At 52.8% G+C, this 25,774-nt stretch overlaps 1 protein-coding gene across 45 annotated transcripts in view, besides 2 other annotated features; it reads right to left on the reverse strand.

Moving 5' to 3' along the window:
• Nucleotides 1-25,774, reverse strand: part of RBFOX3 (RNA binding fox-1 homolog 3) — a 576,227-nt gene that overhangs the window by 432,060 nt on the left and 118,393 nt on the right. Inside the window, exon 1 of one of the 45 annotated variants that reach the window (NM_001385833.1) lies at nt 10,450-10,516. The exons of the other annotated variants lie outside the window; for them this stretch is intronic. The gene's annotated coding sequence lies outside the window, so the exon portion shown is untranslated. Of the gene's footprint in view, nt 1-10,449; nt 10,517-25,774 lie in introns of those variants that run through there. 45 annotated transcript variants of the gene reach the window in all.
• Nucleotides 10,985-11,756: an enhancer, noted in NCBI's record as "H3K4me1 hESC enhancer chr17:77528471-77529242 (GRCh37/hg19 assembly coordinates)". NCBI's record gives its function as "activates a minimal SCP1, AML or CMV promoter by ChIP-STARR-seq in primed H9 embryonic stem cells {active_cell/tissue: H9 hESC(primed)}" and the evidence as "EXISTENCE:reporter gene assay evidence [ECO:0000049][PMID:30033119]".
• Nucleotides 11,757-12,528: an enhancer, noted in NCBI's record as "H3K4me1 hESC enhancer chr17:77529243-77530014 (GRCh37/hg19 assembly coordinates)". NCBI's record gives its function as "activates a minimal SCP1, AML or CMV promoter by ChIP-STARR-seq in primed H9 embryonic stem cells {active_cell/tissue: H9 hESC(primed)}" and the evidence as "EXISTENCE:reporter gene assay evidence [ECO:0000049][PMID:30033119]".

Below are 25,774 nucleotides of genomic sequence, written 5' to 3' on the forward strand. Positions count from 1 at the left end.
CACATACCCTCACAGACTCACACTCTCATACACACATAGGCACAGACACATACACAGAGATACACACATTCAGACACATTCACACACACACGCAGATATATACTCACAGACACATACGGATACATTGACAGACACACATTCACACACACACTCATGCACAGAAACATACTCCACAGACATACACATTCACATGCAGACACGTGTAGACACACACACAGACATACTCATATACACTCACACACAGATACATTCATGCATAGACATATGAACTCACAGACACACTCATACTCACACACGGAGACACACTTATACATTCACACAGGCACACACACACACATATACATACACAAATACATAGACGCACACACAGACAAGTGTGGACACACAAAAACACACAGTCACACATGCACATACATATCCTTAAGACACTTTTTTGCTAAATAAATTTTATCTCGGCTCATTCAAAGTCCTAGATAACTGTGTAGCCTAACTAATGTCCATTGCCAGTGAAGTGGACATGGGAGTTTTTCAGTGAAGTCGGTGGCTCAGGACTCAGGGCCAGAGTGAGCGGCAAAGGAGGGCTCTGCTGCTGCTCCCGCTGCTGGTGACAGGCTGACCTTCACCCGACGGAATCTTGGACCAGTGCAGGCCACACTGGAGGGGAGACCCTGGAAAAACTCGGGCAACTGGAATTGCTCCTAAAATGTGTGGTTGCCTCTAATGCTGAAAAACTGTTTTCACAGCACTGTGTGAGCTCCTGAGCAGCTCCCCACTCTCCAAGTCTCCACCTTTGAGGAGCTGGTTCTCTGGTGCTGTTTTTCTGGAATGTTCCCTGCCATTATTTTTCTAGAAATTGCTCTAACCCAGAGGCCCTGTGTCATGCTGTCTTCCTAAAGGCAGCCCTGAGCCTTAAGTCCACCAGTCTCTAGAGATTCTCTCCCTCCTCAAAAACCATCCTCAGGAGCTAGAGGCCCCCAAACTTCACGTCCAGACACAAACTCTCCTGCTGGCACCAGGGCTGGAGGCCTGAGGGGCCATCCCCACCGCACACCACCCCTGAGCTAACTTTTACCCAACTCCAACTATTTTCAGGGTACATTTGGGTGTTTTGAGAGATCCTTAGTTGTATTAAGACGGCATCACATTTAAAGTCCTCTCACCCGACACACACACCACCTCTCCCCACTGAGAGGATACGAGATTCACCTCAGGAATGTCAGATCTCATCCAAAGTAAAGAAGAGGGCTGGGCGTGGTGGCTCACGCCTGTAAACCCAGCACTTTGGGATGCCAAAGCAGGCAGATTACCTGAGGTCAGGAGTTTGAGACCAACCTGGCCAACATGGTAAAACCCTGTATCTACTAAAAATACAAAAATTAGCCAGGCATGGTGGTTGATGCCTGTAATCCCAGCTACTAGGGAGGCTGAGGCAGGAGAATCGCTTGAACCTGGGAGGTGGAGGCTGCAGTGAGCCAAGATCACGCCACTGCACTCCAGCCTGGGTGACAGAGCAAGACTCCGTCTCAAAAAAAAAAAAAAAAAAAAAAAAAAATGCAAGGAAGCTCTGACGCAGGCCAGAACAGGATGGACTTTGGGGACATTATGCTGAGTGAAATCAACCAGGCAGAAAAGGACAAATCCCGTAGATTCCACTGATTATGAGGTTCCCAGAATAGCCAAATCCATAGGGACAGAAGGAAGAATGGAGGTTGCCAGGGGCTTGTGGTGGGGGGGCGGGTGGTTTGGGAGAATGTGGAATTGTTTCTGGGGGACAGACTTTCCATCTGGGAGGAGGAAAAAGCTCTGGAGATGGGTGGTTGGTGGTGACAGCTGCACAACAAGGTGAATGCTCTACATACCACTGACTTCTAAACGGTTACGACGGCAAATTTTATGTGATGTATATTTTATCACAATCTAAAAAGCAAAGTTTAAATGTCTCAAGTGTGGAACTGAACTTGCCTAAATGTCACCAGTCACCACCAAACCCCACTGTGTTTCAAGTGTTCAGAGGGCGGGAAACGGGCTGGAGGGAGGAGAGGTCCTTCTGTGCTCTTAGACACATCCCTGAAATGTTGACGAGGAAGCTTCCGTGACTCTTCTTGCGTTCCTCATGGTGAGGAGACCCAGGTCCTCAGTGGTGACTTTCTATTTTGAGTTCTGTTGTCCCTGGTGAGCCACCAAAGAGAGGATGTGATCAACGGCCCCATTGGTTCATGGACAGAGAGTTACTGAGCCTGGTGGAGCTTCAGGTGAACACGCAGCTGCCAGGATTCCGGTGAGGGATAAGGCAAGCTGCCTGCCCTCGGGACTCACAACCCCGTGGGGTAGAAGGAGATGGGCAAACACAAATTAAACACAAGGTGATAAAACGCAAAACGAATAAAAGGCGAACCTTGTAAACTAGCCAGCACATTTTGAGTGGTCCTTGATTTCAGAAGGTAGATAAGAGTTCGGTGTCCTAATACCTTATCCCCCACAGCCTCTCCACACCGTGTATCTCAGTCTCCCCTGGCCACCTCGGTGGCACTGGAAAACGGGGCCAGACTTTCACAGCCTCAAGTGGAGGTTCGGGTTTCTGTCCTGCCCTCATGACCCTCTTGTTGTTCTTCCCTTCTGGCAGTCAGTTTTCCCATCATTAAAGCCAGGGAGTTGGGTTAAATGGTCCTTAAGATCCCTTTGAAGTCCCGCATTCTATGATTGAGGACCTTTGAGTTTTCCTCCTGAGAGAGGATTCCAGGATCACAGAGCATTCTGAAAATAAAATAATCCTGCTCCCCATTTGGATAAAACAATGAGTTTGGCAAAAGGGTACTGCAGACAACAATGTTTGGGCAGGCTTACCAACACACAGTAGACATGCTGCAGGTTCAGAGCCATTTCCCTGGAACCAATATTTACAAACACTGTCTCAGCATTCAAGCAGGCAAACAGCTTCACAGGAGTTTAACGGAGACCTCTCCTCCCCCAGCTTAATGGAGGCAGCCCGCTCTCTCTTCGGCAACCTCCCAATGGTTTTAAAGAGGAAAAACACCCACACCAAAACACACCTTCACTCTCACGGCGGGCATTTAGGCTAGCTCTGGGATTTCACTGCCAGATGACTACCTTGAATCTGTGGCAGCATCCCCCTCCTAGGAGGCCAACCTCAGGTTGTGGAAGCTCTTTCCTCCCTCTACCAACAACGTGCAGAACTGGGGGCTGGATTCTGCTGCCCCTGGCTGTGCTGGGAGTGTGGAGCAGGCACGGGCACTGGGGGTTAGATCCTGCTGCCCCCGGCCGGGCTGGGAGCGTGGAGCAGACACGGGCACTGCATCTTCCAGCACATGGCTCTGCCGTGCAGCAGGTTTGTAAATGGAGCCCTAGTTTGCAGAGCACCTCGAACATGGCATCATGGGTGGGTTCAAGCCGAATGAATATGCCTCCGCCCCACAGCAGGTGTAAAGGGAGCCCCAGTTTGCATAGTGCCTCAAACACAGCATCATGGGTGGGTTCAAGCTGAATCTCCCCAGGCCCTGTTTGGTTCTGTCCCACCGAGTGCTTAAGATCTCCATGATTCCATAATTGGCTAACAAGGATTCTTGCATATTATTCACTGTCAGAGAGCAACACCCTGCCATGTTCCTCTAAGCATATTGCCCTCAAGGGCTCTGGCATAGAAAGAGACCAACCATGTCTCCCAACCTTTCGGGGTGCCCTGTAAACCAGAGTTCGGCACTGTTGACATTTGGGGTGGGAGAGTTCATTCCTAGTTGTGGGGCCGTCCTGTGCATTGTGAGGTGTGGAGCGGCGTCTCTGGGCCCCTCCCACTGGACACCAGGAGCACCCCACCTCCAACGGAGAAAATGCAAGATGTCTCCAGACATTGCCAAATGTCCCCCCGGGGCAAAATCACCCCCTAGTTGACAACCCTGCCATAAACTAAAGCACCACAGGCACATCATGGGGCAAGAATCACCATTCTCCTAAAAAAGAGTAAGCCAGAGACCAGGGCCTCTTGTACTCATTACATGGAGTCACCAAGTTACAGGTGAGTTTGCCAAAAAGTGAGAAAGACTGGTCTTCAATTCCCTGGAAATGCTTCCCAGTCTTCCCGGAGGGGCCAGCTGCCAAAATCAGCTGGATTTCTATAACACTGCACTCTCTCTCACCCCCATTCTAGAATTATCTGCACCTCTGTAAAGTTTCTATAATCACATACGTGTAATCAAATCAAAGCTATTAGGCTTGCCAGGAGCTCGATGTCTAAAGGAACATTGCTGGAATTCCTTGGGTAGTATATTAGAATTCCAATCACCATCATCTATTTTTTCTAAGCTTGGGTTTTTGTAGAGGAAAGTTGTTTCCTTGTTTGAGTATATATTCTATGAGTACATTTTAATTCAAAAGGGATCAAAACATTTTTTCTTTAGAATTTCAACCTGTCTCTTGTGATAACTGGAAAAATGCTGGAATCCCCCAGCCAGGATGGGAATCGCTGACCTACAGCCTGCGAGGAAAGCCCGAGAAAAGTGGCTGGATTCAGTAGGACGAGCTGGCTGTGGAGACAAGCCACCGCCACCCCCGACGGCCATTGGCTCTGCTGCGGCTCAAAGGTTTGCCTCCAGGCTGCTTCCAGGTTGGGGTACACCAGGGGCACTGACACCACCCAGCCACAGTGCAGGAGACTGAGCCAGGAAAGGAAGTCCATGCAGCCAGCACTCAGCCATCTTACCTGGAGGTGACGCCAACACTGCCAGTCACAATCCCTCAGGGAGAGCTAGCAAGTTGTGTGGCCCCACTTAGGAGCAATGGAGGCAGCACCATGAGGGGAGTGTGACTCTCAGGTGGTCACCCACAGAGGCTCAGCCAGAGCGGCCCTGAACCCTGCCTGGAGGAGCCACCCAGAGGCAGCCCCCACATGATCATGAGGAAGCCAGCCTCATCTACGAAACGGGACCAGGCGTTGAGCCAAGTGGCTTCCTTCCCAAAAGAGAAGAGAACCCAGGATAGTCATCATGCATTTTGTCACCTATCACACGATCCTAAATCCTAGGGAATTTCTGCAAGGCTGTGCCTCCGCCACTGACAAACAGCGAGGTCAGGACAGTGGCCTGAATGCCCCGAGTGGTCCCCGGACGCACTCTTGGACCAGGTCATGAGATAGGAAGTATCCTGATCGGTAGCAAGGGGTCAGAGCAGAGGACGGTGGGGTTGGCAAAGGGAAAAACCACAAAGGCAATAGGGGAAGGGCACCACCGTCCCAGACAAACCAAGTCCTGCTGGCTGGATGTGAAATGGACATGAGCACTCAATTCCGTTGCCCTGGCACATGGAGTTTGAAGGGTCATGGCATGGCTCAGATGAACCAGGCAGGCCTCATTCTCTGCAGAGAGTTTTGTATAGACAGTGATTCACCTTGCACCTTCCCGTTATACCCACTTTGGGTGAGGGAACTGAGTGTATGAGAGGGTTTGGAAAAAAACCATCGTGTGACACCAGGTCAGCCCCCTCCTGCTCTTAGCTCTGCAGCCAGCCACGCTGGAGGCTTCAAGGTAACCAGACACAGAAGGACCCTACAGCTGGAAGACTCACAAGTCACCTGTCAGCCCCATGACCAGTGGCCAATCCCCCAGGTCAGGCATCTGCCTCTGCCCCCACCCTGGGCAGCCTGAGCTCCACCTCTGTCCTCCTGGCTGGATCCTATCTTCTCTTCCCGCCACTCTGAGCTACTCGTGCCTCTAGGCACAGAAGTACCTCCCTGTCACCCGCCCAGACAAAGGAGAATCCTTTAGCTCGGCTTGGTCTCCTGTCTGCACCTGCGGATGCAGAGCACGCCTGCCACCTCTTCCCTGCCAGGAGCTTCAATTCAGTTGGCTGGAAGCTAAGCCCTTCCTTTTCTTTCTTTTCTCTCTTTTCTTTCTCCAATTGCCCTTCTAGGAGAGAGAAGAAAAGCCAGGTCTTTTTGGAAACGCCCATCCTGCCACTGCATATAGAAGATCCACCAGCGTTGAAATCTCAACACTAAAAAAGAACCTGGGGGAGCACGGTTCCGCAGCTGTGCCTGGTACTTCTGTGCTCAGCTACTCGATGGGCTTTGTGCCCTCTCCTGGCCAACTCCCTCCCCCACCAGCTTTGTCTCTCTCGTGTCTATTTTAGTGGCTGATCAGTGTGCCTCTGTTTCCCAACCCAGGGCTTACGCATGTGTATTTCTATACATTATTCCCTCCACGGAGGCTTCTGAGCCATGAAAATGGCTCCTTATGCAAATCAAGGGCTCCTCCATCTGCTTCCGATATCCCCCACTTCCCCTTCATAACCTGTTTGAGGGGATGCGGTACAGGCAGCAGATGATGCAACTTTATTTTTGTAAACCCAGTTGGTCCTGGAGTGCTGGCAGCCACAATAATAGGAGAGCATGCCTGTTGCTGCCTCTCAGTGAGAAACCAGCCAGGAGGGCCTCCTGGGGCAAAAGGGAAGGGGCGGTTCGGGGTCTCAGCAAAGAGGCCGATGGAGTCCTTGCCCTCTCCGCTCCTTAACACCTTCCTCTTTCTGCCGAGTCAGGGCTTGCTGTGGATTGAATTGTGCCCACCACCAAACAAAAGACACGTCAAAGCCCTAACCTCTGAGTACCTCTGAGGAGAATCTTAGTTGAACCACTGAGTACCTCTGAGGAGGATCTTAGTTGAAACCCTGAGGTATCTCTGAGGAGAATCTTAGTTGAACCTCTGAGGTATCTCTGAGGAGGATCTTAGTTGAACCTCTGAGGTATCTCTGAGGAGAATCTTAGTTGAACCTCTGAGGTATCTCTGAGGAGGATCTTAGTTGAACCTCTGAGGTGTCTCTGAGGAGGATCTTAGTTGAAACTCTGAGGTACCTCTGAGTAGGATCTTAGTTGAACCTCTGAGGTGTCTCTGAGGAGGATCTTAGTTGAAACCCTGAGGTACCTCTGAGGAGGATCTTAGTTGAAACTCTGAGGAGGATCTTAGTTGAACCTCTGAGGTATCTCTGAGGAGGATCTTAGTTGAAACCCTGAGGTACCTCTGAGGAGGATCTTAGTTGAACCTCTGAGGTGTCTCTGAGGAGGATCTTAGTTGAACCTCTGAGGTACCTCTGAGGGGGATCTTAATTGAACCTCTGAGTAACTCTGAAGAGGATCTTAGTTGGAGACCGGGTCTTTGCAGATGTAATTAAGTTGGAAGTTAAGATGAGGACATTTTGGAGTAGGGTGGGCCCTACATCCAATATAACTGGTGTTGTCCCAAGGAGAGGAGGGGATGCAGAGACACATGTATCGGGGAAGGCCGTGTGAAGATGGAGGCAGAGGCTGGAGTAAGGCAGCCACCGTCACGGAGCACTGCGGGCTGCTGGGAGCCACCAAAGCCAGGAAGAGGGGAGGGAGGACTCTCCCCTAGAGTTTTCAGAGGGAGCACGGCCCTGCGACACCCTCCCCTCGCAGGGGATGACCGCCCAGCAGCCCCTCCCATCTCACAGGTGCTGTTGTGACTGGGACAGTGTCTGTCTTCACTCTGCACCGCCCCTCAGTTCCTGCTTCAGGGCCTCAGGGTATGTGCTCAAAACATATTTGGCAGAATGAAGGCAGAGTGTTAAGTAACTGTTCCCACATAACAGCACAGCAGCCTCAGGTAGAGGTGGGGACATGGAAACACACCTCCATGTGAATGGATGCTATCTCTTGTGAGATCTCATTTAACACCGGAAGGACACTACTTACATTCCAGTCTGAAGCTGCATTCCCCTGGTGAAGGGTACCCAGGATTCCACGCACTTTTGCAACTTTCTATGAGCCTATAGTTATCGCAAAACAAAAGCCTGGGGGATGGGGGTGCATTTTCTTTTTGTTTTGACAAGAGGCTGTAAAGCCCAGCAAAGGTTGACCCATCCCCCCACCGCATCACCCATCACCCCACCGCATCACCTGATCCTGAAAGTCCAGAAGACAGGGTTTGAATTCCCAGGAAGGAAAGCATTTAGGGAGAACTGTCCCTTCTAGTCCTATGTTTTCAATCCTCCACGGAACCAGTTGCATGGCTCACAGCAGACAGAGGGAGACTGGGGTGCAGGAGTGGGATGCGTGCAAAGAAGCGGCTAGCTAAAGTGGGGGCGGGGTGGCTGGCCAGCAGCATGGCACCCCGGGAGGGAGGTGGCTGATCCTGCAGTGAGGAGGCATGAGGGGCCCTGCCGAGGCCCCAAGAGGGAAGAGGATGCTTGTGTGAGGTCAAGGGGTAGAGGACACAGTCTGTGGCAGAGGGAGAACTGGTACCACTAGCCCTGGGGACACCGCTGAGATGATGCTGAGGTCTGGGCATGCTCCAAGGCAGAGGAAGGAGGGAGAGTGAGGAAGGAAGGGTCGAGGGCACTGCTCATCCTGCCCCCGTCCCCTGAGGCTCTAGAAGAGGGGCTGGCAAACTCCGGCCAGGGCCAAACCCAGCTCCCCCAGTTCCCCCAGCTCACCACCTGTGCTTGTGAACAACATGTTGCTGGGACCCAGCACGCTCCTTCACGTTCATCCATGGCTGCCTTCCTGCTGCATGGCACAGCCACGTGGCTCTGAGAGGCTGAGACCATCTGGCCTGCCAGGCCTGGAATATTTACAACCTGGCCCTTGACAGAAGAAGTTCGCCGACCCCTGCTTCAAATCATCTCCGCCATGGAGGAGCCAGCGTGAACTTCCACAAAGCCTGGATGGAAGGGGCTTTTTAATGAGATGAGGCAGCATCGAGCACAGCCCACAGAGAGGAGGAATCGGCAAAGTGAGTTTTCTTCGTTCTCACCCTGGAGAAAACCTCCAGCTGTGCACCACGGAGAGAGTGGACTTTGCGGGGGCCAAGCTGGGGTGAGGCACCTGCCCTGTTATCAATTTAAAGTTGTATTTTCAAAGCAGGGATGTTGTCATGCTGTGGCAGAATTGTCCTGATCACCCTGGCCCTCGTCCCTCTGCGAATAAATCCCCCACGCATGGCACCATCCACCAACAGAGCGTTCTTGCCCAAATCTGCCAAAGAGTATGAAATGCGTAAGGCCCAGAGCCGTGCCTCCTCCGCCTTTGTGCCGCAGCCCTGGGCTCAGCGACAGCTCACCCGGGGCCAACTGATGGTAGTTTACTTTGAGGCCGTGATGGAATCCATCCACAAAAATTCAGCACCAAGAGGCAGCCCAGCCCTGCAAGCCAGACCACAGAGACCAGAGGGGAGGATGGCCGCCCCAGCAGTTCCCTTGATCAGCGCCAGCCTGTGTAGGCCCTGGAGCTTCAAAGATGAATGAGACTCTGCTCCAGCCCTCGGGTGCCTGCAATAGGGCTGCAGAAACCATGAAGAAGCCCAGACGGGACAATCACCACAGTGTGATGTTCTGGGGAGGTGCCCACATGCCGCGGGACCACAGAGGACGGAGCCTCCGGGAGCTTCCAGAGCAGCTACTCCAAGGCCGTCTATACTGGGAAAGGGGGTCTGTTTGCAGCAGCGGATTCTAAGTAACTCACGTTGTAAATATTCCAGGCCTGGCGGGTTAGACGGTCTCGGCCAGTCAGAGCCACGTGGCTGTGCCGTGCGGCAGGAAGGCCGCCGTGGATGGACGTGGTGGAGTCATATTGTGGGCTGCTGGTATTCTTGGCCCTCTACCCTAAGGTCGCTGGGGCTTTGTGCCCCAGTCCAGGGGCTCCTCCCCGCCAGGACTTAGCAATCGTTTGCGCAGAGCCTGCCCACTTTCTCCTTGGAAGAACGGGCAGATTCCTTCCCAGAAGGTGCTACACGGAAAAGCCCCATTGTCACTCCCAAGCCCCCAGACCCCACTTCTCAGTCCCCACAGACTGTGCTTGCCCATGGGGGTGGGGTCTCCTGCTGCCGGCCCAGGAGGGTCTGCAGCACAGGTGCCCACCTGCCCTGCCAGCATCTATTGCCGCCCAGAGGCCCCAGGTGGGCATGAGGAGGCTGCCTGCGTGTGCGGAGGAGGGCGGCCCAGGCGAGCAGGTGGGCCCAGGCAGCTTGGCGGCTAAGTGTTCTCGGCATCTGAGGCGGCTTCACTTTTCGGCAGCCAGTGAAGGACAAGCACCCTGTAAATTTAGAACGCGTGATGGCTGGCTGCTTTTGGTATTCATCTGAGTGCACGGGGGAGACGGAATAATCCACCCATGGTCATGCCCTTACATCCCAGCCCACGTCGCTGCCTGCAGAAGGGAAAACCTTTCCCAAAAGTAAAAAGGTGATGGGCCCCTCTAAGGCCGGTCCCAACACCAGCCTTGGCCGCCTCCCAAGGGGACCCTCCTCTCCTTCTCACATTTAGCTAAAAATAAAGCCCTTTTTGGCAGCAAACGCACCCAGTTTCCCCAGAACATAAGCTCCCCGGGAATCTAGAAACGAAAGAGCTCTACCTCTTATCAAACCCAGATGGATTCCTGAAAATCTGTGTCCAGGCAATTTGTGCAAATCAATCACGTTCTCCGTGACTCACCTTCATCTGGGATGCGTCCCTCACAGCTGACCGCCAGGCCGCTGACCACCCGCTCCGCACACAGCAGGCTGGACAGTGCCGGCCTGCAGCAAACCCTGCAAGAGGGGCCAGCTGCTGCAGGGGAGGGTCCTCAAGGGATGTGGACCCTTGAACCCAGATTCTGCTGTGCATGTTGGGAGGTCAGGTTCCCACAAAGTGAGGCAGGCCTGAATGCAGATGACCCTGCCGTGGATTCTTTTAGACCTTGGCCTCATTCCTTCTCAGGTGGCAGCGCCAGAATTACCCTGGAACCTCTCACAAAGTTGTCCTCGGGGCAAATGATCTGAATGTGAATAACTGCACTGGAGGGGGGAGGGGAGGAGGAAGAATGAGGCTCAGTTCCCCCTTTGTACACGTTATCCCCTGCAGCTCCTAAAGGCAGAATAGGATTGGCCCAAGGCCAGCCAGCTCCAGGCTGGGACTCCATGTGGAGCCTAGGGTGGCACAGAGGGGATTGAGGTGGGGCCCAGGTGAGCCCATTTGCACTGCAGAGAGAAGCCTCTGGATTGGGACAGAGGAGGAACCAGGTTGCATGCAGGGAGGCTCAGCCAGAGCTGATGAGGTTGCAGGGGCTGCAGAGATGGACAGAAAGGGTCAGATCCAAGGTGAGTGGACTGGGCAGGGGGCCACACGTGGGAGGCTGGAGGAGTGGAAGTAACCGAGATCAGCGATGGAGGCCCACACTCCAGAGGCCCACACTCCAGGCTAGGAGCCACTGAGGCCACCACACAGAGCTCGCTCTCCAGGAAGGAGCGGCCAGGGGCCCCTGCCTCTGTCCCTACTCTTGATAAGGGTGGAAAGGGGTTGTGGGGACAGAGTCTTGGCCTTGCTGCCCTCACATCGCCAGCATAGTACTAGAATCCTGGGACACAAGCAAAGGCCACAGGGACCGATTCCTGCCCTATGGCTCTCTTTCATCAGGTGACTATTGAACACGTGTGTGTGTGTGCACGCATGCACGCCGCCTGTCAGGGAAGGGGTGGCCCCTGTCGAAACTGCTCTCAGCAGGTAGGAGTTTGATGTCAGCTGACAGACGGAAGCTCTGGCAGCAGACTTTACTGGTTTGTACCAAGGGAAGGGGCTGTCCCCAGCTGGACTCAGCATTCCTCCAATGACAGAAAGACGCAGCGCTTGTCCTGTCTCAAGTGCCAGGCAAGGTCTTGACTCCCGTGATTCCTTTTAGTTTTCACATCCCTGTGAAAGAGGCGTTGCCCCCATTTTCTAGATGAAGGAGACTAAGCTTGGAGAAGTTCCTAAGAACCAGCTGGTGGGCAGCTGGGACTTGAACCCGGCCATTTCATGTCTACTTCATGGCCTCTGCCCTGTGTTTCCCTGGTAGGACGGTCCCAGGGCCGGGACAAGCTGCGCTCTTTGTCCTCCCCAACTGGAGGCAGAGAGTCGAGTCCAGGCATCGAAAATCCTCCCAAGCCTACACCTGGCCATGCCCATTGGCTGGCGGCGGCAGAACAGAGGAATAGTGACATTGTCAGCGAGGGTGGCGATAAACCCACCCCTCCGTGCTCAACATAAAAGCCACAGCTCCATGCTCAACATGGTCTGCACCTGTCAGGGAGGGGCCTCCAGGTTCTGGCATGACTGTTTCTTTCTCTCCTGGCCGACTGGGGGAGTTTTCTGAAAAGCATTTCCATTACTTCAACCCTCACAGAAACCAGCATCAGTTCTGCCCAGCCCAGGGTGCCCCGAGCATGAGGCATAGATACCCCGCGATGGGGAAGGGGAAGCTCTCAGGGTGTGGCCCCCTTGGGAAGAGCCCAGGGGCTGGTCATGGGTGCTTTGCAGCATAGGAGGGCAGCCTGGGTCATCTCTGGTCAGAGAGTCTGAGCAGCCTCTAGAAAGATCCGTGGTATCACTTTTTCCTTATTATAAAAGTTATACATATTCACTGTAGAAAATTTAGAAACTACACATATGCAAAAAGAAGAAAATAAAAATAACCCATAATCCCACTAACCCGAAATAACTCCTGTTAACATTTTGAGCATATATACACTCCCAGACTTTCCTATGCATAGAATATATATTTTGGGTTCTAAGTGGGATCATACTGTACATTCCATTTTGTAACTTTTTTCCATTTAACTCTATGTCATACCAAATCATTAACTATTCTTCCACAACAGCATTTTTAAATGGCTGAATTAGCCAAAAAATACTAAAGGGACAGTTGAGGGCAGGAGAGGAAATTTTACAACACAGAAACTTGCAATTAAGCATTAAATAAGAAAACGCCCTTTGTAAACAAACGTATTTTCTCTCTTTAGTCCAAATTCTACAATAGTGAAAAACGAAAATGTCATCCAACTTGAGACAGGAGACCTCATCACCCATAGCTGGTGACGGCTTCAGGAGGAGCCGGCATCACCGTTCAGAAGGGCTGACCAACTCTCCCTGCAGGTGGGAAGTTGTCTAGATATTTCTGAGGCTGTAGGATTGCAGTCATCGGAACATTGTCAAGCCATTCCCCGGCGAGATGCTCAGGAGTGGCTCAGAGGGAGGTGGGAGAGGTTAGAATCCGAATCCAAGGGGATCCCACAGGACTCACATCAGCTGTGCCAAGAGCAGGGTATGTCGTCACATATGAAATGGGAGCTCTGTGGGGTCTGCCAGACGCTCCCCAGGTCCTGGAGGGGCTGACATCCTTTCCAGTCCAGGCTCGGAACCAGCCAGAGGCTGTTCCACACCACTGGTCCCTGAAGCTTGGTAGCAAATCCAAGAAAAAAGGTGTTCCTGGGGGTAGAACCAATGATGAATGGCCATTGCCGTGCCAGCCCCAAGACCCACCGTGACCTAACAGCGGTGTCTGGAGAAGAAATCAGGCTTGTAAAACATCACCATGGCCAAGCATCTGTGTCTCCCCAGTTTATTCAGGTTTCTTTTCTCAATGTGCTTTAGGGAAGCCCCTTCAGGAAAACGCCCACCTGCCATGTGCAAAACAAAGACAGAGGGAGATCGTCGCCCCCTCGGAAGTCGGTTTGACAAGTGCCCCAGAGACTGGGCCCACAGAGACAAAGACCAGGGGGAGAAATACGGGAGAGTCTGCTCTGGGGGACTGCCATGTGGGCAGCTCTCATGCCCAGAGGGATCCCAGCTGAATCGGTTAGGATGCTTTCAGCTGCACCCAACAGAAACCTGACCCAAACTGGCTGAAGCCACGAGGAAGCGTGCCAGTCACATGACGGGAAGTCCAGGCTGTGGCAGCTGCGGGGTTGGGCGATTCAGCCCCTCTCTATGCCACAAGGACACAGGTCCTGTCTCCTGCCTGCTCTGCTACCCTCAATGTAGGCCTCCCCCTTGGGCTAGAAGCAGCAGCTCCACGGCAACATCCCAAGGCCCCTCTCCAAGGGCTGTTCACAGAGGCTGACTCCCGTCCTCCCTTTCCTGAAAGACACTCTCTTTGACTCATTGGCCAGATCTGGGGATCACCTATAGGTAAGGAGAAGAGGGAGGGTGACAGAGGCTCCCAGAAGTCAGCCCACCAGCAAGGCCTCTCTCCAGCAAAGCTCATTCCTACCTGTCCTCCGGAGAGTGTCACAAGGGGACAGCGGCCTCCAATCTCCCGATTCCTTTACTCTCCCCTGTTACCCAAGTGAGTCACCCCAAACGAATGAGGCCCTCAGATGATCCACAGGCTGGAAGGGGCCCGGCTACCCCTCAAAGTTTCCTGGGCTTGCAGGTCTGCTGCATGGCTGCGGTCCTGGCCAGACCACATTCTGGGCGGACAAGGCAGGATAGCCAGCCCACAAAGACACAGTATGCGCAGCCAGGCAAGGTTGCCTGTGTTGGGGACAGTCAATCGGACATAGGAATAACGTGTCCTCTGCACCCAGGAAGCCTGCAGCACTGAGCCGTCTGCATTTGCTAGGGCCACCAGCTGCCACTTACTCCAAGGAACAGGGTGGGAAGAGTCCACACGGAGAGGGGCCGTGGGTTGATCTCTGCTCCCCCTCAGTCACAAACCCACTCCTGGTTTCCCTGCACCTCCCCCAGCCACTGCACCCCTGCCCGTGACCAGTAGCGGCAGGGTCATCTCCACAGGCCCCTCCCTCCCTCCACAGCTTCCTAAGCACTGACAGGCCCTCTCTGTCCTCCCTCTCCCCACTTTCATTCCTGGCTAGATTTAAGCTGGTCTCACAGGGGGCTGGGGAGGGAGAGCTGCAATCCCCATGGCCAGGCAGTTCGGCCCCAGACACCCTCACTCTGTCACCCAGACTGGAGTGCAGTGGCGTGATCTCAGCTTACTGCAACCTCTGCCTTCCAGGCTCAAGCGATTCTCCTGCCTCAGCCTCCCAAGTAGCTGGGATTACAGGTGTGCACCACTACCACCCAGCTAATTTTTATATTTTCAGTGGAGACAGGGTTTCACCATGTGGGCCAGGCTGAACTTTTGACCTCAAATGATCCACCTGCCTCGGCCTCCCAAGTTACTGGGAATACAGATGTGAGACGTGGCACACAGCCCACCCCCATTATTCTAATCACCATCAGATGTGCCCTTGTCTTGCCCTGCACAGGCCTGGTTATGTGTGTTCCAGTAAAATACAGCACCATGGAAGCCTGAACATCTGTAAATCTGCCAGCTGAGTGGCCCTGCTTAATTACAGCTCCCAAAACACCCACTGTGGTGGCATCAGCCCCGTCAACGGTGATCCATTGCCCTGATGGGCAAGCTCATCACCCTCGGGCCTCCTTGGCCACGGGTGTTTTCCCCTGAAGGAGCCGGCCACAGGGCATGCTTGCCCCGCCCCAGCGTAGCACTTTGCAGAGTCCCACACTGTATCATCCGTCCTCTAACAGAGGCAGGACAGTGACCTGTTTGGCAGGTGTGTGTGTGTGACTTGTGGCTGCCGTAACAAATCACCACAAACTCACCGGCTTAAAGCAACAGACATTTGGCCGGGTGCGGAGGCTAACACTGTAATCCCAGCGCTTTGGGAGGCCGAGGCGGGCAGATCACAAGGTCAGGAGATCGAGACCATCCTGGCCAACATGGTAAAACCCCGTCTCTACTAAAAATACAAAAAATTAGCTGGGCATGGTGGCGAGCACCTGTAATCCCAGCTACTTGGGAGGCTGAGGCAGGAGAATCACTTGAACCCAGGAGTCGGAGGTTGCAATGAGCTGAGATCACACCACTGCACTCCAGCCTGGTGACAGAATGAGACTCCGTCTCAAACAAAACAAAACAAAACAAACAAACAAAAAACAAAAAAAAAAAAAACCAAAAAAGCAACACACATTTATCCTCTTACAGTTCAGAGTCTGAAATCAAGGTGCTGGGAGGTTTGCGCTCCCTCCAGATTCTAAGGCTCCTCCCTCGCCCCTTCCGGCTTCTGGCATTGCCGGCGGTGCTCAGTGCACTTGACTTGTTGCCAACATCACTCCTGGCTCTGCCTCCATCATCATGTGGCCCTCTCCCTGTGCATCCGTTCTCCTCTTTTCTTAGAAGGGCACCAGTCATTGGATTTAGGGCCCACCCTCATCTTAACTTGATGAAATCTGTAAAGACCCTATTTCCAAATAAAGTCCCATTCACATGTTTGGGAGGTTAGGATTTGGACCTGAGGGATACACAGCCAGCCTGCAACAGTGGGTGTCCCCTGCAATGCCAAGGGGGGACAGTGTCCTCACTCCTCCTGGGCCATGCTAGACACACAATTCCCTTGGACTAGCCAAATTCTCTTTCCCTAGAACCCCCGCCCACAGGTCCTGTTTCTGCCTTTGAACAAAAACGGACAAATCTACTTCCTCCTGCCCATGACAGACTTTGAAACTGTGGAGCATCGTGACAGGCCTACCCTCTCCCCAGTCCCCCAAGGCTCCCAGCTCCAATTATGACCCCCATCTCCCCACCTCAAATTGAGGAGGTGAGTCCCTTTGTGCCCAGCTCTTGGGCCAGGCCAGCCCCAGGTGGTCACTGTCTCTCCTACACCAAGTCACAGAGTGGACCCCAAGTGTCCCAGGAGGATGAGCTGATGGGGGTGGGGGAGATGAACACACCTGGAGGCCCAAGGCATGTCCACACCCCCCGAGGAGATGCTTCCCCTCAAACGTGCACTGGGTGCTGTGGTGGGGTTGGGGGCAGGGGTGCTGGTGAGGGCAACACCAGGCAAGGCCTCCGTACTCAGGACTCTGGAGCCCAGCACAGGGGTTGGGGCAGAGATGCCAGGCAGCTCTTCCCCTGAGCCAGGCTATCCTTCTGCTATTCAGCTATTTTGCAAACACAAACCCCCAAAACTTAAAACCGACAGAAGAGGAGCTGCCCCTTCCCAGGCTGTTGTGAATACATGTAATCTCATGATGAGTCTTCTCTCCCACAGGCTGATGGCCCTATGGCATCAGGAGCATCTGTGTGTGCCTGGCACACAGCAGGAACTTAACTAAGCCAGTGGGATGAATGGAGGAATAAATGAATGAATGCACAGGTGATCTGGCTACAGTGGAGAGAGAGAGCTGGAGTTTTCCCTTCTATGCCCCTTTCCTCCCACCTTGCAGTCCATGAGGCACCGCCCTGGAGTGAAGGGCAAGTTTGGCCTTGCGGGAGGCAGGGACAACCACAGTCAGGGCAGGAAGCCTCGATGCCACCTCCCTGCCAAGGCCTGGTTCCCTGCTCTGGAGCTGAGCTTTCCCTAGGCACAGTAAGAGCAGGACAGTAAAGGCGGGTGGGCTTTGAGAATCATCCTCGCCAGCCCCTGCCTTTAGGGCAGCAGTAGGGCAGTGACACATTCACGGAGGAACTCAACCACTGTGTGGTTCCTTCAGACCCAAGAATCAGGATGAGATCGGCAGGAAACAGGTGCCCATGTGGGGGCTGGATGTCTGTTATTCCCAGGAGACCCAGGAGGCCACCATTGTGAGCTCAGGTCTAAGTCCCAGAGATCAGGGGAGGGTCTGATCACACTGGCCCAGAAGCAACCTCAACACTGTATGTAAAGTCAAAGCATGGGTATGGCCCATATGTAAAGAGTGCCCTGAAATTAATAAGAAAACCACCCCATGGAAACACGGACAAAGCATGAGAACAGGCTGTTCACATAAATACGCATGCAAACAACCAGTAAACACACGAAAAATACTCCACCTTCCTCAAGTTGGGGAAATGCAATTAAAATGCTGAGATGTTTTATATGCTTAGACTGAAAAATAAGGACTAATACGTGGTCAGGTGTGGTGGCTCATGCCTGTAACCCCAGCACTTTGGGAGGCTGAGGCAGGAGGATTGCTTGAGCTCAGGAGTCCGAGACCAGCCTGGGCAACATAGCAAAAACCTGTTTCTACAAAAAATAGAAAAATTAGCAGGGCATGGTGGCACATACCTGTAGTCCCAGCTACTTGGGAGGCTGAGGTGGGAAGATCACTTGAGCCCAGGGGGTCACGGCTGCAGTGAGCCATGATCGTACCACTGCACCCAAGCATGGGCAACAGAGTGAGACCTTGTCTCAAAGATAAAAATAAAAATAATAACTGATGTTGGTGTGGGAATAAAATAATCACATAGTGTGGAGGCATCTGTCAATACTTTTGACTTTTTATAAAGTAACCCAGGTGTAGTTTTAAGTTAAAATTTAAGATACACATAACCTTTGCCCCAATAAGTCTACTGTTGGGGTTTTCTCCAGGAAAGCTACGAGTGCCAGGAAAACACATAGTGCATGGTGGTGTCTGTGCATTGGTTTGGGAGGAGACATTTCCCATTGCTAACAGTGGTTAACAGTTGGAGGTCAGAGGTCGCCCCAGGAGAGTTGGATTTGGGGAAGGAGGTCCCAGACTATTCATTTCACTTTATACACTTCTGTGTTGTAAGAACAAAGAAGCAAATATTTTTATAGCTCATGCAACTGAATTTTTAAATGACTAAGAACGTCATTTCAAAGTAAAGCCTTTCAACTCTCTATGCTATTACAGGTAGGGTCCTAGATTTAGGGAATAAGAACATGGCGCATGGTTAACTTTGAATCTCAGATGAACACGGTTTTGTTTGGGTTTTTAGTGTAAGTAGGTCCCACGCGATGTGTAACACATACCTATACAAAAAAACCTTTGTCATTCATCTGAAATCCGGATTTCATTGCATGTCCTGTGTCTTATCTGGCAACCCTGGGGACAGCAGGAGGAAAAGGAAGAAACAGCTTCACAAATCTCTGCCATTTTAATGGATCCGTTTCCTCTCCTTCCTCATGAAAACCTGCTGTGTCCAGGGTGATATTTCTTTCTCCCGGTAATCACACGCATGCACACACACTCACAGGTGCTGACCATTCGTCACCCTCCAAGAACATTCTGACTCGGAGTGAGCATTTCAGCAGATGCTGATATTCAGCGTGGCTCCGATCTGAGAGCCAGGATGTCACTTCAAACTCATCCTGCTGAGAGACCTGAGTCTCTAGAGCAGGGTCCGGGACTCTCCAATGCTGTGTTCCAGCCTGACAGTGCCCGGTGCACGGAAGGGAGTCGGCAAATGCAGGGAGACAAATGAACGGCGGAGGCCCCGGCACACAGTGGAGGGGCTGGCATCCACCTCCTTAAGGTGCATGGCGTCCAGGCCCCAGCCCCAGAATCCTCCTCAGCGTGTCAGGCAGGGCTGCCCCACATCTGTGCCAAGGCCAGCATCCTGGATGGTCCTCCCACTGCCAGGTGCTCCTGCTGTTCTCTCCTCCCACGCAATGCACACTCCTCCACACAGAAGGGCCCGGGCCCTGCTTCCAAAAGCAGACTCCATGTCATTCACATACCGCCGTGGTGCACAGACGTGGGCTGAGAGCGGGGAGCTACACTCGGGCCTGGAGCCGGTGTGGCCTCCGCCAGGTTGTGGGTTGCTCGACCTCCTGGAGCTTCAGTGCCCCCATCTGTAAAAGTGGAGGTCGATGAAATATTCTTGAAGGGGTTTCTAAGCATTTCTGAGAGTTTAGGGTCAGTGGTGTCCTCAGCTGTCCTAATCCATTTAGTACCAGTTCTACTTCAACCGGACACTTCAGAGCATCTCAGCCAGAGACACGGGGCCACTAGCTGCAAGAAAGTTCCTTCTCGCCCCTCTTCTTGAGGCCTGGGGGGATCTGCAGGCCCAAGTATCCTCCGAGGAACTGCTGCTTAACCCGAGTGCTTGTCGAGCCTCAGCAGCCACAGACGAGACATTAGCGTTACAACCCACACTGATCTTTGTCAATTACGCTCCAGTATTTGAGCTCTAACCAGCTTTAAATTGAATCAGGACAAAATCATCAGAATAAAAAGAGCCCAAGCCACAGCCTTTCAATTCCAGCACTGGAAAAAAAAAAAGCTATACATTTCATAATGGCCTTCTACCCCATAATGAACAGGAAAAATAAATTAGATTCCAAGCTAAGGGTATATTTATGCAATTTCATTATGTGCCCATGAGCAAGCCTGGTTTTCACCAAGATAAAAATGAGCTCTCAGAAACACTCACACTAAATAAATGGAGTGATATAACAGCTTAACAGGGAGCGTGGAAGAGGAGCTGAAGGACAATGTCAAAAATGAGAAAATAAAAATAAGAGAAGCTTACAATGTACCACCATACTTGGTGTACAAAGTACTAGAGGCGCCTGGAGTCTGTGGCCGGCAGCGGGTCCGCCTGTCCCTCCGGAGGAAGCAGCTCTGTCCTCAGCACTCCAGGGACCTAAAGCCAAGAACAGCGGAAGGGACACGGCTTCTCCCCTTGACACACGAGCCCATGTGATGGCAAATCCACCAAGGCTCTCTCTGCACCCTGGTCAGTTACACTGTTACCATCAAACCGCTAGGCCTCAAGTCAGTTCTTCAGGCCCACCCCGGCTCCTGGCAAGAGACCGCTCACCCCGGAGCAGGATTTCAGTGGAAACTCTGGCTTTGTCTCAGCCCTTTCCGTGCTGATCAGTAACCTTTCTTCATCTCACTGACAGAGTCCCTCTTGGTTCTCTCTTTTGCTTGTCTCAGGGCCCTCACGTTTGATGGCACCAGTTTCGAGGGCAGAGTGACACCTCCTGCCGATGTCACCAGGTGGGCCACGGAGCACGGGGCTCCTCCAGGGTCCCCACGCACTGGCTGCCGGGGCCTTCCCTCGAGTGTTTCTTTTTACAGAACAAAACCATGTTCTCTGCTGCCTTTAAACACCTTGAGAGCGTCGACCTTTTTTTTTTTTCATGTATTGTTTATCGTGCAACACTCCGAGACCTCTATGTGAGAGGCGTTTTATAAGTTCAGGTTGTTGTGAAGGTTGACAAAATAATAGATTCCTTTTTATTTTTTCAATGGATATTTACAAAGCTGGAAATTGTTTCCTGAAAACCCTGGCGGTGTCTAACTGGGGCAGACTCGAATTCAGACAGCTCAGGGGTCTCTCCCAAAAGGCAGCGGCTTCACCCTCCCTGGCTGCCCTCTGCAGACTCACAAGGGGCTCCCCAATGCTGTCAGCAAGGGCCAAGGAGAAGGTAACGAAACTATGCAGTGTGAGCGCTAGTGGGGCGGCTCCCTAGTCCCTAGATGAGGAAATCAGGAAGAGATTAGGAGGGATCCCAATGAATCAGCGAAGAAGCTGGGCTTAGACCAGTCTGTCTGATAGAAATAGCATGGCAGTCCCACGGGCAATTTTCAGTTTTCTAGGTGGCTGACGCCTGTAATCCCAGCACTCTGGGAGGCCAAGGCAGGTGGATCACCTGAGATCAGGAGTTCGAGATCAGCCTGGCCAACATGGCAAAACCCCGTCTCTACTAAAAATACAAAAATTAGCTGGGCATAGTGGTGCATATCTGTAATTCCAGCTACTCGGAGGCTGAGGCAAGAGAATCGCTTGAACCCAGGCGGCGGAGGCTGCAGTGAGATGAGATCACACCACTGCACTCCAGCCTGGGCAACAGAGCGGGACTCCATCTCAAAATAAAAGGATTTTTTTTTACAAAACAAAAGAAATTAATTGTAATCACATATTTTATTTAACCTAATATATTCTAAATATTTTTGGGTCAATATGTAAATTGTATAAGGGATTATCAGTCACGTGTTTTACATGCTTTGTCCATGTGCTGGGTCTTGGAGTTGGCGTACACTTTTCACTCTACACACGTCAACTGCCCAGCTCTCTCCCGTGGCCGGTGGCTGCCATCCAGGTCCAGGCAGGCACAGACCCCTATATATCACAGCTGCCTCCCTCACAACCACAACCCCAAGCCTAAAAGACAACCATTTGGCCACATGTAACCCGGCATACGGCAGCTGAACGGTAAAGGGGAATATGTCCAACACTCAGAACCGTATCTTTGCAAGTAATGAGTGATTTTCCAAAACCACCAGGAGACCAGCAGAAAATCACCTCCTCCACGCCTTACTGAGCATCTTCTCTGTGCCAGGAGCAAAGGACGTTACAGGTGCGAGTTTGCTACATCTTCAGAGCTCTGCGAGGCCAATGCTGCCTTCACTGTGACTCCCTGATAAACGGAGGCTCAGATAGGGCCGCCCAGAATTGCATCAGTGGTGCACAGTGAAAGGACGCCTGAAATGCCAATGTTCATCACCCTCTGAGGGTAGAATTTCCCCTCCTGACAAGCAGGACCCCCTTGGAACCAAACAGGTACTCAACACCCCTACGTCTCTCGTGGGGCAGGCTTCGGCTACTCAGCTACTCGGCACAGAGCGAAACCAAGGCCTTCCTGCCAACTTCACACTCCCCCCTTCATCAGCTCCTCCTTGATCAGGGCCTCCGAGGAAAAGGAATAAACAAACAAGCTGATAAACAAACAGCGAGCGAGGTAGATGAAACACGCGGCGAAGATGAAGCATGCTGGGCACGTTCCAACCCCGCGGTCTTAGGTACAAAGCCCATTAACTCATTAGTGCGGATGGAGTTTGAATTCCACAGCACCGTGTGATTCTTGGCTACCGTCCAGCAATAATTCAGAGCTACTGGTCAACCAGGAAAGACACAGCCAGGGTGGGCCGAATGGGGCAAGGGTGGGATGCAGGGTGGGCCGAATGGGGCAAGGGTGGGATGCAGGGTGAGCCCCCTACCCCCCAGAGCCAGGGTGCCCACAAGCAGCCTGAGAGAGGGGAAGTCAGAGCAGCCATACCACCAAGTAAGGGAAACTCGTGCCTAGGAACAGAGGGGCTTAAACAACCCTCAGCCCGTCCCTGGGCATTGAGAGCTCCTTTCCCCTGTGCTAAGGAGGAGGTAAGGCCCACAGATAGTCCTGCTGCCATCCTCACAGTGACCCTATGAGTCAGGCACTTCTGTGTTGCAAGAGAGGAAACTGAGCCCAGAGGGCTGGTTGGTGTGGTCCCTGGACTGACACTGGCCGGTCACTGTCTCAGTATCACTTGTGTGTGTTTTCTTCCAGCCTTGTGGAAGAAACCCTGAGATCTATACAACGGAAAAGTACCAGAATCAGCCCCCAAGGATGCCATGAGCTCAGGCGCGCTGGCACGTTGGGCACTCGCTGTGGGCTGACTCTATTCAACACGGTGATTGCTGGTGTTGGTGGAAGGAGGCATCGAGGAAATACAGAAAACTGGGAAGCTGTCTCCCCAGTCGCTGGGGCACTGATTTGGAGAAGGAGGTGACAGAGAAGCACAGAATGAAGAGGAGAGAAGAGAAACAAAGCGCAGAAGGATCAGGAGCCCCCATCAAGGCTTGGAGAAGTCCACTCCTCCCGTCGGAGTACCCCGACCCTCCATACCTCCCTGCCCTGCCAACCCTGACACCTGCCATCCACCTGCCCCACCACACCTGCCCCACCACAACCACCAGGCTCCCTGCAGACACACCTGGCTGCCTTCCCCAGGGCTCAGGGAGCAAGCCTGCATCCTCAGGCTCTGTCTAGTCCCTGGAGCCGCCTCCTCGAAGCTCTTACATAACTCGGGTCCTTCCTCACCTCCTGAGCAGCACCGCCCTCCCCCCACCTTCTAGACATGGGGGAGTAACATCTGCTGTCCTCACTCCTCTCCAAGAGAACTCCCTCCCCAACACCCGCACCCCAAACTCAAACACCGCCACCCTCCCCAAAGCAGCAAGGGATAAAAAATAACATAAAATAAAAACATGCTACCACCACCACCCACCACATCATTAAGGGCAAAAAAAAAAAAAAAAAAAGAGAAAGAAAGAGAAAGCTCGCTCCTACAAATAAAACTCTTTCCTTCTTGTTCTAGAAAAACAAGAATGAATCCTGGGGGGAAGGAGCACAGGAAGGGGGCAGACGGGGCCGCTCTACCTTTTCATCTTCATTGCTGAGAGCATCTTTGATATGGCTTATTTTGTAAAAAGAAAGAAGTCCACGTAGATCCTTGTGCTTGCATGCACGCTAAGAGAAGGTATCAGAATCCCGCTCTGGGAAGGGCGTCGAGGGTCCCCATTCCCGCCCTCTCCCTCGCCCCTGCTAGAGGAGCACGTCTACCAGGAAAGAAGGAAGGGGCCAGCCGTGTTTGGGTTTTGGATCAAGAGGCCAGGATTAGCCTGATTGGAAGGCTCCACAGCAACATGGGGAAGAAGAGAAAACAGCCTGGCTGAGGAGCCGGCCACAGGGTCCCACCGGCGACCACCCCATGCCCTCTGCCCTTGCCCCTGCCTGGCCTCTCCCCACTTCGGCCACCTTGGCAACACTCAGCCTCCAGGGGCCCAGAGGGAGCGGAGGTCTCCCAGGCCTGACTTGGTGTCCCAGGCTTCCCAGGTCGCTTCCTTCCAGGCAGCCGATTGGTTCAATGTCTGCCTTCCCTTCCAAACACTTCCAAGAAAACAAGAGGGGAGGCCTTACTTCTTTCCCCAGGGGACGCTGTCCAACCCACCTCCTGTTATCCAATTCCGCCTCCCAGCTGAGACTGCAGTTCCCCTTAACAGTGTGTTCCCAGCTGTCCTGAGCCTTCACCACCCTGCTCCAGGTTCTCACAGCCACCAGGACGGTTCCAGACATGCACACTCAGACACACCCGTGCACACTCAACCCCGCCAGCTCACTCGGCTCACTCCATTTCTTTGGCAGTTCTCATGGGGCATGGAAGGTTCTCCTTTGATCATTCCTATATAGCTAATTGGAAAGACTGTGTGTGTGTGCACGTGTGTGCGTGTGCACGTGTGTGTGCACATACATGCATGTATACTACTGCACAAGCCATCATGCTACCACTTGGACAAATCTCAGATATGTGGATACCTCTCGCAGATTTGCATAATGACAAATTTAAAGCAAATAATCTTCAATGGCTATAGGTAGATCCAGAAAGGTCATAGCCACAGTCTGGACCCCAGTAGTTTTCCATCTCCCTGATCTATATTCCACCTGCCACCACTGATGAACGACAACCATGTAGACCCATTCAGGACCTCAGCCGAGAGCCCAAACCCCAGGACGCTCTCCCACCAACACAGAGGATCCAGCTTGACACCCCAGAAAGGAAGCACAGGTTTATGGAGCACCAGCCAAGTGTCTACAGACAGTCTCCCTTTTCATCCACACAAACGGCCATCAGATGAACGTCATCACCAGTGCCCCACTGCTGAAGTGTGGCTCTGAATAAGCACAGAGCCCTATCTGCTCTAAGCCCTTGATTTCCAGCACCCCAAAGAGCAAGACGACTCCCTAAACAGGGTTGATCGATGGCTTGTCTGTAGCCCCCTCCATGCCCATCCATCTGACGGCTTCCCAATGGCCTGTCTGTAGCCCGCTCCACGCCCATCCATCTGACGGCTTCCCAGCTGCACCAGAAGCAGCACATGGCTTGGTTCCCTCCCATTCCCATCCGCCGGCATTCCCAGCAGTACCTTCCTCATTCTATTTTTTTTTTTTTTTTTTGAGACACGGTCTCACCCTGTTGCCCAGGCTGGAGTGCAGTGGTGCTATCTCTGCTCACTGCAACCTCCGACTCCCAGGTTGAAGTGATTCTCCTGCCTTAGCCTCCCGAGTAGCTGGGATTACAGTTATACACCACCACACCCGGCTAATTTTTGTATTTTTAGTAGAGGCGGGGTTTCTCCATGTTGGTCAGGCTGGTCTCAAGCTCCCAACTTCAGGTGATCCACCCGCCTCAGCCTCCCAAAGTGCTGGGATTACAGGTGTGAGCCAGTGCACCCCAGTCCCTTCCTCATTCTTTAGACCCACTACTCAGCAGGGGCTCTGCTCAGGGACGAAAAGGGAAGGTGGGTCTGAGCCTGACCCTTCCATCCAGGGCTGGACAAGGAGCCCTAGGGAGCCTGGCAGGTGAACAATTACCTTGGGGCACCTGAGTCTGCCCTGGGGTTCAGAGATAAAAGCATCTTTCAAGCCAACTCCCAAGCGTTCACTTT

The sequence above is a fragment of the Homo sapiens genome, chromosome 17 (assembly GCF_000001405.40).
Source record: "Homo sapiens chromosome 17, GRCh38.p14 Primary Assembly".
Lineage (NCBI taxonomy): Eukaryota > Metazoa > Chordata > Mammalia > Primates > Hominidae > Homo > Homo sapiens.